The sequence below is a fragment of the Homo sapiens genome, chromosome 2 (genome assembly GCF_000001405.40).
Source record: "Homo sapiens chromosome 2, GRCh38.p14 Primary Assembly".
Classification (NCBI taxonomy): Eukaryota; Metazoa; Chordata; class Mammalia; order Primates; family Hominidae; genus Homo; species Homo sapiens.
In genome coordinates, this window is record NC_000002.12 from 111851191 (window position 1) to 111866256 (window position 15066).

The 15066-nt window shown below is 39.9% G+C and overlaps 1 protein-coding gene across 9 annotated transcripts in view; it reads right to left on the reverse strand.

Moving 5' to 3' along the window:
• ANAPC1 (anaphase promoting complex subunit 1) overlaps nucleotides 1–15066 on the reverse strand; it is a 117963-nt gene that overhangs the window by 84960 nt on the left and 17937 nt on the right. For all 9 annotated transcript variants that reach the window (XM_017004711.2, XM_017004710.3, NM_022662.4 and 6 more), the window contains 6 exons: nucleotides 13616–13761; nucleotides 12485–12705; nucleotides 11199–11408; nucleotides 7116–7211; nucleotides 5606–5696; nucleotides 5424–5489 (listed from right to left, as the gene is read on the reverse strand). In XM_017004711.2, the coding sequence (XP_016860200.1) occupies nucleotides 5424–5489; nucleotides 5606–5696; nucleotides 7116–7211; nucleotides 11199–11408; nucleotides 12485–12705; nucleotides 13616–13761 (830 nt within the window). The remainder of the gene's footprint in view (nucleotides 1–5423; nucleotides 5490–5605; nucleotides 5697–7115; nucleotides 7212–11198; nucleotides 11409–12484; nucleotides 12706–13615; nucleotides 13762–15066) is intronic.

The window sequence follows — 15066 nt, forward strand, 5'->3', positions numbered from 1 at the left end:
CTACCAGGCTCAAGTGATCCTCCCACTTCAGCCTCCTGAGTAGCTGGAACTATAGGCACATGCCACTATGCCTGGTTAATTTTGTATTTTTTGGTAGAGACAGGGTTTCACCATGTTATCCAGGCTGGTCTTGAACTTCTGGGCTGAAGCCATCTGCCCACCTAGACCTCTCACACCTTGGTATAATTTCTCTTGGTTGGATTCCTTCTCTTCATTACTGAAGACTTTTTTTTGCAGGCAAGGAGAGGAATGTTAATATAGTCAACACATTATATAAAAATCTGCACACTATGTACTCTTCTACCTTTTTGGTCATAAAGACAGTAAGAACAGCGGCCGGGCGCGGTGGCTCACGCCTGTAATCCTAACACTTTGGGAGGCCGAGGCGGGCGGATCACAAGGTCAGGAGTTCAAGAGCATCCTGCCTAACACAGTGAAACCCCATCTCTACTAAAAATTAAAAAAAAAAAATTAGCCGGGCGTGGTGGCGGGCGCCTGTAGTCCCAGCTACTCTGAGGCTGAGGCAGGAGAATGGTGTGAACCCGGCAGGCAGAACTTGCAGTGAGCCGAGATCGCGCCACTGCACTCCAGCCCAGGCAACAAGAACGAAACTCTGTCTCAAAAAAAAAAAAGAATGAGTTGACAATCCGTGCTAACCACTCCTTATTTTGGCTATCTGTAGGGTACTTAGCAAAAACAGAAATTCACATCTGTACAAGCTGAAAACTTGATAAGACTAAAAAGGAGATGCTCAGAACTAAAATGAGATATTAACAACGTACGTATTCATGTTAACACACTACTCAAAAGCTAACAAAATAACAGAAGTTGCCCCAATAAAATCCTTAGGCTTAAAAAACAAAAATAACAGTGAGAACTAATTATGCATAATTTTTTAAAAGCTATCTCAAACCCCTAATTTACGAAAAGATGGAATAAGCACATACCATGCTATTCCCTCATTAATCACCAAAAAGAAAAAAAAACTGAATAAAATTTATAATGCAACTAACAGAAGATTCTGAAAAAGTGAAGAAAAGAAGACAAACTGGCTAGTAACCTGAGACCCAGGAATGACCTAATGATGAATTCCCTAGGTTTCTGGTTTGATTCCTTACGTAACCAGGCCTTAGGCTTTCAAAGTGCCTATAACACAGACATGCCAACGTTCACAGACAAAACACGCCCTAAGAAAATCTTACTCTTTCCAGCCAAAGTGTTGGGAAAAGAATGACTGACCAGGACAGAAACTTTTCACTATATCTGCCCTACTCTTTGCAAACACCAAGAAAAAAGTCATGGCCATCCCTTCCTCCTCATCAGGAGGCACAGTGAAAATTTTGAATGTCCCTCGTCTATTTGAGGAAGTCCCCTTCTATTTCTAGATGCTGAGGATTTTTTTTAATCATGGATATTTTATTTTATCAAATGATTTCTCTGCATCTATTTAGATCCTTGGTCAGCAAACCATGTTCCATGACCAAATCTGGCTCGTATCCTGTTTTTGTACAGTCTGTGAGCTAAGAATAGGTTTTACGTACTTAAATGGTTAAGGAAAAAAAAAACAGAAGACAAATATGTAACAGAGACTGCATGTGGCCCATAGAGGCTAAGATACTTGTCTGAACTCCTACATAAAAAGTTTGCCAGGCTTGATGTGGTGGCTCATGTCTGTAATATCCCAGCACTTTGGGAGGCTGAGGTGGGAGGATCGCTTGAGTCAGGAGGTCATGGGTGCAGTGAGCTGTGATCCCACCACTGCACTCCAGCCTGAGTAACAGAGAGAGATACTGTATCAAAAAAAAAGAAGAGAAAAGAAATTGCCAAGGATGGAGAGGACATGAACAACATTATCAACCAAATGGAATGAACTGACATTTATAAAATACTCAAGGGTGCCTTCTTGGTGATTTGGCCCTTTAAAGTCTCTCTTTGTTCCTGGTCATTTTTTTTTCCCACTTTATAGAGACTCCAGCTATCTTCTGATTACTGTTTGCATAATATATCTTCTTTCCATCCTTTAACTTACCCATGTCATTATATTTGAAGAACACTTCTTATAACCAACATATATAGTTGGGCTGTATTTTCTAATCTCTTCCGCTAGTCTCTGTTATTTGTGTTAGACCATTGTATTTAATTAGTGGCCTAGTGGGATTTAAATCTGCCATTTAATATTTGTTTTCTGTATGTTCCCACTTTCTTTGCTCATCCAGAAGAAGCAACTCTTCAAGTTTGATCATAAGATTTTGGCAATTCTGTTCAAGTTTGGCAATTCTGTTCAGGTTTAATCATAAGATCTTGGCAATTTAGTCACATCTTCAGGCTCTACTTCTAATTCTAATTCTCCTGCTATTTCCACCACATCTGCAGTGACTTCCTCCACTGAAGTTTTGAGCCCCTCAAAGTCACCCATGAGGGTTGGAATCAACTTCTTCCAAATTCCTGTTTATGTTGATATTTTGTCCTCCTCCCATGGATCATGAATATTCTTAATGGCATCTAGAAAGGTGAATCCTTTCCAGAAGGTTTCTTTTTTTTTTTGAGATGGAGTCTCCCTCTGTCGCCCAGGCTGGAGTGCAGTGGCGTAATCTCGGCTCACTGCAAGCTCCGCCTCCTGGGTTCACGCCAGTCTCCTGCCTCAGCCTCCCGAGTAGCTGGAACTACAGGCACCCGCCACCACGCCCGGCTAATTTTTTGTACTTTTAGTAGACACAGGGTTTCACCGTGTTAGCCAGGATGGTCTCGATCTCCTGACCTCATGATCCACCTGCCTCGGCCTCCCAAAGTGCTAGGATTACAGGTGTGAGCTGCCACGCCCAGCCCAGAAGGTTTTCAGTGGACTTTGCCAGATCTCTCAGAGGAATCACTATCTATGGCAGCTCCAGTTAAGTAATGTATTTCATAGTAAGACTTTAAAGTCAAAATTACTCCTTCACAGGCTGCAGAACAGATGTGTCAGCAGGCATGAAAACAACATTCATCTCCTGTACATCTCCCTCAGAGCTCTTAGATGACCAGGTGCACTGTCAATGAGCGGTAATATTTTGAAAGGAATCTTTTTTCTGAGCAATACGTCTCAACAGTGGGCTTAACACATTCAGTAAACCATGCTATAAACAGGTGTGCTGGCATCCAGTCTTTGTTACTCCATTTATAGAGCCCAGGCAGAGCAGACTTGGCATAATTCTTAAGGGCCCTAAGATTTTTGGAATGGTAAATGAGCACGGGCTTCAACTTTAAGTCACCAGCTGCATTAGCCCCTAACAAGAGAGTCAGACTGTCCTTTGAAGCCAGGCACTGACTTCTCCTCTCAGGTTATGAAAGTCCTAGATGGCATCTTCTTCCAACAGAAAGCTGTTTCATCCACACTGAAAATCTGTTTAGTGTAGCCACCTGCATCAATTATCTTAGCAGCTTCTACATCAGCACATGCTGCTTCACCTTGCACTTCTGTGTTATGGGGAGGGCTTTTTTCCTTAAACCTCAAGAATCAACCTCTGTTAGCTTACAACTTTTCGTCTGCAGCTTCTTCACCTTTCTTGGCCGTCACAGAATTGAAGAGAGTTAAGGCCTTGCTGTGGATTCGACTTCAGCATAAGGGAATGTTATGGCTGGTTTGATCTTCTGTCCAGACACTAAAACTTTCTTCATATCAGCGATAAGGCTGTTTCGCTTTATCAGTTGCCATGTTCACTGAAATAGCACTTTTAATTTCCTTCGAGAGCTTTTCCTCTGCATGCACAAGTTGGCTCTTGTGCACAGGTGGTCTGGCTCTCAACCTATCTCAGCTTTCAACACGCCTTCCTCACTAAGCTTAATCATTTCTAGTTTTTGATGTAAAGTGAGAAACCTGTGATTCTTCCCTTCATTTGAAAACTTAGAGGCCATTAGAGGGTTACTAATTGGTCTAATTTCAATATTGTTTTGTCTCAGGATATAGTGAGGCAGGAGGAGACAGAGAGACAGGAAAGGGGTCAAATGATCAGACAGACCACACAAAACATTTATCAATTAAGTTCCTCATCTTATATGGGTACAGTTCGTGGTGCCCCAAAAGAATTCCAATAGTAACATCAAAGACCACTGATCACAGGTCACCATAACAGATAAACTAATAACAAAAAGGTTTGAAATATTGCAAGAATTATCAATATTTGAAACAGTGACACAAAATGAGCACATGCTGCTGGAAAAATGGCACCAACAGACTTGCTCAACACGAAGTTGCCACAAACCTTCAATCTGTAAAAAAAAATGCAGTATCTGTGAAGTACAATAAAGCAAAGCACAAAATGAGGTACGATGGAATACTATTAAATATATACATCACACTGAATGAGTAAACAACACACGCATCAACACAGACAAATCTAAAACAAATATAATGTTGAGCAAAATAAGTATATCAGAGGCGAGTACATGGTATCTTTTTTTATATAAAAATTCAAAAACAAGGAAAACTAAATAATGCATTCTTTAGTGATACATACATAACTGTAAAAACTAGTAATACAAACAACTGATTTATCACAAAATCAGGATTCTATCTCGAGGGCAGGGGAAGATAGGATGCAATCACAAAAGAATGTAATAAAAATAAGGATACTGGCAATATTCTATTTCTTAACCAGAGTACTGGGTAGATGAATATTCACTTCATTATTATTATTCAAATTGTATGTATTTAAATTTCATAATTTAAATTTGTAAAATGTATATTCTCTACGTACATTTCACAAATGTTAAAAAATACAGCTAGCGGCTGGGCGCGGTGGCTCACGCCTGTAATCCCAGCACGTTAGGAGGCCGAGGTGGGTGGATCACGAGGTCAGGAGATCGAGACCACCCTGGCTAACACGGTGAAACCCCGTCTCTACTAAAAATACAAAAAATTAGCCAGGCGTGGTGGCAGGCGCCTATAGTCCCAGCTACTCGGGAGGCTGAGGCAGGAGAATAGTGTGAACCCGGGAGGCGGAGCTTGCAGTAAGCCGAGATCGTGCCATTGCACTCCACCCTGGGCAACAGAGCGAGACTCCGTCTCAAAAAAATACAGCTAACATATACCACATTTAATATAGTGAAACTTTACCAAAACTTTAGTACTTACCAAAGGTACCCATGCTTCAATTTCAAAACTTTAACTTTAAAAAAAAAAAAAAATCTACCTATACTCATTGAAGGTTTCCCATCTGTGACAGGTTTAGAGTACCAATGCATTTAACAGCAGTGAGCCATAGCCCTCCAAATTAGGACCCACCTAAATAGGAAGCTTCACTGAGAATTATTAACAAAATTCTTCTGCCAAATTGTGCAGACAGGAACATAACAAATTTAAAATATCAATCTAAAGTAACATTACAAATATTCATGCAGGCAGCCTGAAGTCCTACTAAAGGCATGAAGTGCTACTTATTGCTTACCCGAACCACTCCTGTGTATAGCACCAGGTTTCCACTGCCTTCCAAGACCAGCATGGTGTCTATTTTCTAAAAAAACAAAAAAGACAAAAAATTTATTTCCCAATCTGAGCAAATTAACAGATTTTTTGACTGAAAAATCTGTTGAAGCGTAATTGTCAACTTCTCAAATGTGCCTACATTACCTCCACTGGTGCTGCATCCTTTGCTGGTATGTTGGTCACTGAACCAAAGATGAGCTGGGTTTTATCATTACTCTCTTGAAACTTTACACAGCTAAATAATAAAATAAAAAAGAAACTTGATACATGCAACAACCTGTATGGGTATTAAAAGTATTATACTGAACAGAAAAAGACAATCTCAGAAGTTTACATACTGTATGAGCCCATTTATATAACATTCACAAATGCCAAATTATCAAGATGGAGAATTAGTGGTTACCAGGATCAGTGGGTAATGGTGTATGTGACTATAAGGAGTTAACGTAAGACAGATAAAGATGTTTTGTATCTTGATTGTGGTGGTATTTACACACATCTACATATGTGAAAAAACTGCATAGAACCATACATACACATAAATGAGTACATGTCAAATTGATGAAATTTGAAATAAAGTGTGTACATCATCTATCTCCTGGTTATGATAATGTATTATAGTTATATAAGAGGTTACCTGTGAGGGAAAAAGAATGCAAGGTACACAGGACTTGTTTACTCTTTTGTAACTTCCTTTAATCTATCGTATTTCAAAATATGAAGGTAAATAAATGGGCAAAAGATCTGAATAGCTATTTTACCTAAGAAGATAAATGAATGGCTAATAACTTCATGAGATGATCAACATCAGAATGCATTAGAGAAAAGCAAATTAAAGCCACTTCACAACCACTAGAAAATAGCTACAATCAAAGAGTGTGATGATATCCAATCCTGTCAAGGATAAAGAGACATTAACCTTCATATTTTGCTGGTGGGAATATAAAATGATACAGGCTATTTGGAAAACAGTTTGGTGATTTCTTAAAAAGTTAAACATGAATTTACCATTCAACCCAATGACCCAATCCTAGGCATTTACTCAAGAAAAATAAAATCACATATGTCCACATTTTTGCTCAAGACCTTTGTTCAAATGTTCATATGGTCATAATTCTCAGTAGTCAAGAGGTGGAAATAAACCAAAAGTCCGTCAGCTGATGAACAGATAAGCAAAACATGGTGGTAGATCTATACAATGGACTATTACATAGCAATAGGTATGAAATAATGATACATGTTACAAAATGGTGGATCCTAAAAACATCACGCTAAGTGAAAGCTAAACACAAAAAGGTACACTGTGTGTACATACATTATATATATATAAATGTCCAGAAAAATTAATCTATAAAGGCAGAAGCCTAGCATGGTTGCCTGAGGCTGGAAATGGGAACAAGACTGACTACAAACAAGCACAAGGAAATCTTTTTATGGTGATATAAATCTTGTAAAACTGGGTCATGGTGATGGTTGTATAACACTGTAATTTACTAAAAATCATTTAATTATACAGTAAAAACATGTTAATTTTATGACATGTAAATTATTTCTAAATAAAACTACTTAAGCCAAAAAAAAAAGGAAAGAAAAGAAAAAGAAAAAGCAGTGCTAAGTTATTTATACAGAAACAATGGGAAAGACATACACCTACCGTAACTGGAGCTGGGACTCTACTAAAAAGCACAGGAACTTTTGCCCACATAGGTCAGATGTAATAAACACTTTTGAGGCTTGTGAATTTTTCTCTCTATAATAGATACATTAATAAAGTAACTGTCAGCACTGGTCCAAGAATCTACCACAGTAACTATTAAAAGTCTTTGAGGCCGGGCGCGGTGGCTCACACCTGTAATCCCAACACTTTGGGAGGCCGAGGCGGGCAGATCACGAGGTCAGGAGATCCAGACTATCCTGGCTAACACGGTGAAATCCCGTCTCTACTAAAAATACAAAATAAATTAGCCAGGCATGATGGCAGGCGCCTGTGGTCGCAGCTACTCTGGAGGCTGAGGCGGGAGAATGGCATGAACCCAGGAGGCGGGGCTTGCAGTAAGCCAAGATCACGCCACTGCACTCCAGCCTGGGCGACAGAGCCAGACTCCGTCTCAAAAAGAAAAAAAAAAAAAAAAAAAGTCTTTGAAAATATTCTGCAAGAAATCTAAAAACTACTTAGGTCAAGCAATAATCTCAAAGACACAAACATTTCTAAGAATTAAACTTCATGATCTCTAAGATCCTTTCAGTTCTTTGATTATGAGCTCGTTACACAGCTTTGTTGGGGAAAGCTACAATAAATTTAACAATTACTGATGAACTTTTAAATTACATACTATGTAAGCTCCCTACTTGTAAAGTAATGCAAACTAAGCCACCTACTTGTAAAGTAATGCATGCAAACTTGAATTCCTATCCCGCAAAGGGCCAGATCTTTCATAATGCTATTTCTCCTATCTACCCCCTCTCCTTCTCAGATTAGGCCTCATTCACATCTCTTTTTGAAATCGTATCTCTAATTCCCAAACCCTTCCTTCTAAAGTGCTACAGAAGGCCGGGTGTGGTGGCTCACGCCTGTAATCCCAGCACTTTGGGAGGCCGAGGTGGGCAGATCACCTGAGGTCAGGAGTTCAAGACCAGCCTGACCAACATGGAGAAACCCCGTCTCTACTAAAAATACAAAATTAGCCAGTAATCCTGTAATCCCAGCTACTCGGGAGGCTGAGGCAGGATAATCGATTGAACCTGGGAGGCAGAGGTTGCGGTGAGCCAAGATCACGCCATTGCACTCCAGCCCGGGCAACAAGAGCGAAACTCTATCTCAATAAATAAATAAATAAATAAATAAATAGTGCTACAGAAGACCCATAAATCTAAAAAATAAGAATCTATAATATATTCAACTTACAAATAAGTTATTTAAAGAAAAATGATTTATAATTGTAGGATACTTTTGATATATGAGAAACAAACCAGACAGACTACTTCAACATTGTATCCACATCTTTACTTTCTTCAGACTACCTATTCCCCATTTCATTCTCTCTAAGATTATGCATTTGCCTTCCATTTCAGATAAAACGAGGCTCTAAGGCTTGAGCTCAACCTCCTGCCTTACATATCTGATCAACCTTCACTTCTTTATCCCAATCTCACCACTTATGCACCTTTCTGGTTACTTGTTCCATCAATCATTTCCTCTGTTCTGTATTTTCAATACTTTCCCTTGAGTATAGTCCGTATAGCCTACTACTTCACATTAAAAGTCTTAAAATACAAAATGGACTCAACATTAGAGTATATAAAAGACCTTCTCAATTCGACTGGATATAAAACTTGTATTGTGGTTAGGTTAGAAAATACTGGGGGCCAGGCACAGTGGCTCACACCTGTAATCCCATTACTTTGGGAGGCAGAGGCAAGCAGGTTGCTTGAGCCCAGGAGTTTGAGACCAGCCTGGGCATCACGGCAAAATCCTTTCTCTGCAAAAATTACAAAAAATTAGTCAGGCGTGGCGGTGTGTGCTTATAGTCCCAGCTATCTGGGAGGCTGAGGTTGGGGAATCACCTGAGCCCAGAAGGCCAAGGCTGCAGTGAGCTGTGATTGAGTCACTCACTGTACTCCAACCTGGGTGACAGAGTGAGACCCTGTTTCAAAAAAAAAGAAAAAGAAAATACTGGGGCAAGATGTCATGAAAACTAATTTTATTATAGTTCAGCAAAAACAAAACTCTCCTTGACCAAGACTCCCTCTAATTTTGTATCTTCATTCCTATTCAAAGGCAAACTCCTTAAAGAGTCTGTATGCCTATGTTCATTTCCTCAGTCCCCATTTACTTTTTCTACCCCACTTTCCCCCGCCACCCTCCCAGCTTAAAATGCTCTGGCCAAGGTCACCAAGGAACCCACTGCCACCCAGGTACCTCCTCTCTGGGTTCAACTCTCAGGGCCACACTTCACCAGTACCTGGCAATACTGGCATCTCTGTATTCTTGAAATGTTCTTTTTTGTATTCTGTATTTCCTGCTGCTTCTCCCATCTGACCTCTTTTGCTTTGTCTCTCTGTGCCAGCTTTGTCTCTTTCCATTCCCCAAATCTTAAGTTTCCAGGACTTCAGTTCCTAGCCCTCTTCTCATTCTACACCACTGGATTTTAACTATTTGGAGGCCACAAATCCCTTTGAGAATCTAAGGAATGTTAAAACCCTCTCCTTGGGAAAAGGCCTATATACTACATGTACACACAATTATTGAATACAATAATTCTTCAATTCTAATCTAATTCTCTTACCTCAATCACCACCTATAAGCTGACAATTCCACATTTATTGTTCTGCTCTTTCCCAAACTTCCGACACACTTATAAAGTGCCTTCTTACCGCTGTCATCAAACATACCAGAGGCCTAAAGGGCAATCAGTAATCTCTCAAGCCTCCTTTTTTTCTTTTTCAGACAGTCTCACTCTGTTGCCCAAGCTGGAGTGCAGTAGTGTGCTCTTGGCTCACTGCAACCTCCAACTCCCAGGTTCAAATGACTCTCTCACCTCAGCCTCCAGAGTAGCTGGGACTACAGATGCACGCCATCATGCCTGGCTAATTTTTGTATTTGTAGTAGACATGGGGTTTCACCATTTTGGGCAGGTTGGTCTTGAACTCCTGAGCTCAAGTGATCCATCTGCCTCAGCCTCCCAAAGTGAGTGATTACAGGTGTGAGCCACTGCGCCTAGGAAGCCTCCTCTTCATTAGCCTTTTCCCTCCCCTCTGCAAAAACCAGAGTGGAAGTACTTGTAATTCCCTAAATACACCACGCACTCACCAGAACTTTTGTTCTGATCCCAGCTGCCGTCTGTGGTCTTTCTCAACTTCCCTGCCTAGCGAATACCTATTCGTCTTTCAAAGCCCTACCAGCAAAAGTAGTCCCTCCTGTGTCACCATCCTTCAGCTATCTGCCTCTTTTGAGGACAGGGACAGTGACTTATTAGACTGTTAACTAGCACACACATTGGCATATAAATTAACACGTGAATTATTAAAGAGAATATAAAAGAAGAAAGGTCACCCAGAACAGAGATCTAAGCTATGTTTCCCAAAAAGTAAAGCTGGCACTCAACTAACATGAACATAAAACTTAGGAAACGTGCTAAAACCCCACATTTCCTCACGGATGGAAATTAACTGTTTCTCCCCAGAACAAAAAACACCCGAAAAATGAGAGATTATTACTATAAAGGAAGAAATATCAGATGACAAAATAATATTTTTATGATGACTTTTTTTTTTTGAGATAGTCTCACTCTGTCACCCAGGCTGGAGTGCAGTGGCACGATCTCAGCTCACTGCAAGCTCAGCCTCCTGGGTTCAAGCAATTCTGCCTCAGCCACCTGAGTAGCTGGGATTACAAGTATGCACCACCACACCCAGTTAATTTTTGTATTTTTAGTAGAGACAGGGTTTCACAATGTTGGCCAGGCTGGTCTCGAACTCCTAGGCTCAAGTGATCTACCAGCTTCAGCCTCCCAAAGTGCTGGGATTACAGGCATGAACCACCACGTCCAGCCTATGATCACTTTAATATCATTAATATCCTCTACTGAAACTGAGGTGGCCTTAATACATATCTCTATATATTTTTACATATATTAATAACTGATCACATTAAAAGGAAACTTTAAACAAAATGCCATATATTTCCCAAGACTTTCAGCAACATTTTTCTTTGAATATAATAATATATATAACAAACCTTATATTAGTAATCGTTTCTGTCCACAAATGGTCAATACACAGTTCAGGAACAATTGGCTCCGTTTCTGGTGCAAGAAAGGAGCCATTAGAATTACTATTTGGAGAATGAGAAATACTATGTCTCTTTGGAGACTGATTATGGCTTGAAATGTTGAACCTTTGCACCCCTGAAAAAGAGTGCACTCCTAACGCAGGAGAATGAGCACGACTGCAAAATAAACAGAGGAGAGAGTACATCACAGTTAGCAAGGCAGGCTTATATGACACACACTCCAATGACACTTCCAAAAATTCCACAGACAGAAGAGCATTCATGGCATAATCCAGGTCAGAAATTAAAATTTTTCAAAAAGGAGTAGCTATTTAAATGGTTCATGTCAATGTGCTTTACTATATTCTAAAGATTTAGAATTATTATTAGAAGAACTCATCTTTTACAACTAAAACTTAGATCATCTTCTTTTTCGGAAAATGAATGATTATTCAAAAAGCTCTAAACTATGTCCCTGTATAGTCAGACATATATATTTATCAACAAAACAATGTCCCTGTAGCACCAGATATACATATCTGGTCATTTAAATATATATCTATATAGAGAAATAGATACATTTACATATCAAATAACAAGTAAAAAAAAAAGAAAAACTAACATAAATTAAGGCAAAAATAAAATAGTGCCACAGTATTTTGGGAATTAATATTCATCAAACTGTTGCCCACATAGTGGTAGAAATGAGGCAACTAACCTTAGGTCAAGCATAGGCAGCTTCAAAATATGACTCAGGAAAGAATGTGACATGGTAAACTTAGAAATCTTAGTAAAAGTGGCTCAGGGCTGAGCACGGTGGCTCACGCCTGTAATCCCCGCACTTTGGGAGGCCAAGGCAGGCAGATCACAAGGTCAGGAGATCGAGACCATCCTGGCTAACACGGTGAAACCCCATCTCTACTAAAAATACAAAAAAAAAAAAAACTCAGCCAGGCATGGTGGCAGGCGCCTGTAGTCCCAGCTGGAGGCTGAGGCAGGAGAATGGCATGAACCCGGGAGGCAGAGTTTGCAGTGAGTCAAGATTGCGCCACTGCACACCAGCCTGGGTGACACAGCAAGACTCCGTCTCAAAAAAAAAAAAAAAAAAAAAGGCTCAATTGGGATAATGGCTATTTCCCCTAAAAAACATCTCCCCTAAATATATTTCCCCTAAAAACAGCTGTCAACAGAAATTCTAAATCCTTCAAAACAAAACAGAAAGCTTAGAAAGAAAAACCAGGAAACCCTTATACCTTAGAGCTGCCATGTTGGAAATAGAAGGTGAGCGAGAATGTAGACTGGGTGATGAGGTTGAGCGACTCTGGCTGTGAATGGAGGAGTAATTCTGGAAAGGTGAAGTCACAGGGGAATCTCCTTTGGAGAGGCTTCTGAGATGTGCTGTGAGGGAGCTGCTAGTGGCCACATTCTGTGGGGTTCCCCCCTGTTCAGAGAACTTTAAAACAACATTCTCTTCCTTAAGTCAAAATAAAGAGAAAGAGGAAAAAAAAAAAAACAATAATTAGAATAAAGTAGCAATTTCCTTGTAAGAATGCAAGTTGAAGTCAGTTACTAAAGACACAGTATTTCTTCTTTCCTAAGAAGCTCAATCTATTTCTCAAATGAGGCCAGGTGCCGTGGCTTACATCTATAATCCCAGCACTTTGGGAGGGTGAGGAGAGAGGATAGCTTGAGCCAAGGAATTCAAGACCAGCCTGGGCAACATAGCAAGATCCCATCTCTACAAAAAATTAAAAATTAGCTGGGAGTGGTGGTACACATTTGTAGTCCTAGCTATTCGGAAGGCTGAGGCAGGAGGATCACTTGAGCCCAGGAGTTCAAGGCTGCAGTGAACTGTAATTGTGCCATTATACTTCAGCCTGGGTGACAGAGTGAGGCCCTGTCTCTAGAGATGATGATGATGATGATGATGATGATGATGATGATGATGATGATAATAAAACTATTCACAAGTGATTTTTCCAAAAAAAAAAAAAAAAAGTGAGGGTATGAAGTATTAACTACTCTTTCATATATATATATACTTTTTTTTTTTTTTTTTTTGAGATGGAGTCTCATTCTGTGACCCAGGCTGGAGTGCAGTGGCATGATCTTGGCTCACGGCAACCTACACCTCCCAGGTTCAAGTGATTCTCCTGCCTCAGCCTCCCGAGTAGATAGGATTACAGAAGCCACCACACCTGGCTAATTTTTTATATTTTTGGTATAGATGGGGTTTCACCATGTTGGCCAGGCTGGTCTTGAACGTCCTGACCTCAAGTGATCCGCCTGCCTTGGCCTCCCAAAATGCTAGGATTACAGGTGTGAGCCAGTGCACCCAGCCTACCCTTTCCTATTAAGGAGAAGTGACTTGCCTTTCTCCTTACCTCTGATTTGACTCTCCGGAGAGTCCACACAGAATGCACATTTTGAACAGCATCATAAGTCATTACAATAGAGGGGTCAGTATTGAGGAAAACAATTTTCATTGCATGATCTACAACATATTGCACCCGTGATGAACCAAAAAGACCTTAAAAATAAAATAGAAAAATCAGGTATAGAACAATGGGCTTTACAAGACTGATATTTATGAACAGAGCTCTTAAAATTGTTAAAGATAAAGAACAACCAAGCCAAAGAGAGCACAAAATTTATTACTATCTTAAATAATTAACTCTGAATTTTTAATAAATTTACTTTAGGCATCAACTTCCTTAAAATACATTAAAGATGAGAGCATTACAAGTTTTAGCTTCACATACATGCTGTTGCTAAATGTTAAGATTTGTGCTGACTCTCACCATTACACGAATCAGCCACAGGTAAAAGGTCGATGATTTCTTCAACTGACTTATTTATAAATTGCACTCAACTATTCTGCCAAGTTTGACTTCCTTATTGGTTCTGTTTTTCTGTATGAAAGCTGTACTCTATAATTACTATTCAGACAGTGCCGAACAGTACACTGTTGTTTCTGCTTTACTAGTTACACATGCAAAATAAGGTTTTTCCCAGTGAGTTCAGCTTTTAATCTAAAGTACCATGGACTGGTCTCCATATCCTTATTTGACAGGAAATGTTTCCCACTCAGTTAAAATACTGAAAAATTTTAAAATATGATTCTATAATCATAAGAAATACTTTATAAATAAAAATCATGCCACCATCTCAAAATATCTACTATTAATACATTAGAGAATTTTTGGTTTTTTTCATACATATATACACACTTTATACATTTTTACAAAATTATAATCATACTGTGTTATTTGTATCCTACTTGACATCACAAATAAGCAACTTCTAGTTCACTAAATATTAGTCAAAAATATGATCAATAATGGCTACACTCCTCCCTCCAGTCCGTGCCTCCAAGATGACAAAGAAAAGAAGGAACAACAATCATGCCAAAAAGGGGCACAGCCACATGCAGCCTATTCGTTGCACAAACTGTGCCCGACGTGTGCCCAAGGACAAGGCCATTAAGAAATTTCATCATTCGAGGCTGGGCAGGTGGCTAACGCCTGTAATCCCAGCACTTTGGGAGGCTGAGTCAGGCGGCTCACGAGGTCAGGAGATCGAGACCATCCTGACTAACACAGTGAAACCCCGTCTCTACTAAAATAAAAAAAATTAGCGGGTCATGGTGGCGGGCCCCTGTAGTCCCAGCTACTCGGGAGGCTGAGGGAGGAGAATGATGTGAACCTGGAAGGTGGAGCTTGCAGTGAGCCCAGATCCCGCCACTGCACTCCAGCCTGGGCAACAGAGCGAGACTCTGTCTCAAAAAAAAAAAAAAAATTCATCATTCGAAATGTGGTGGAGGCCGCAGCAGTCA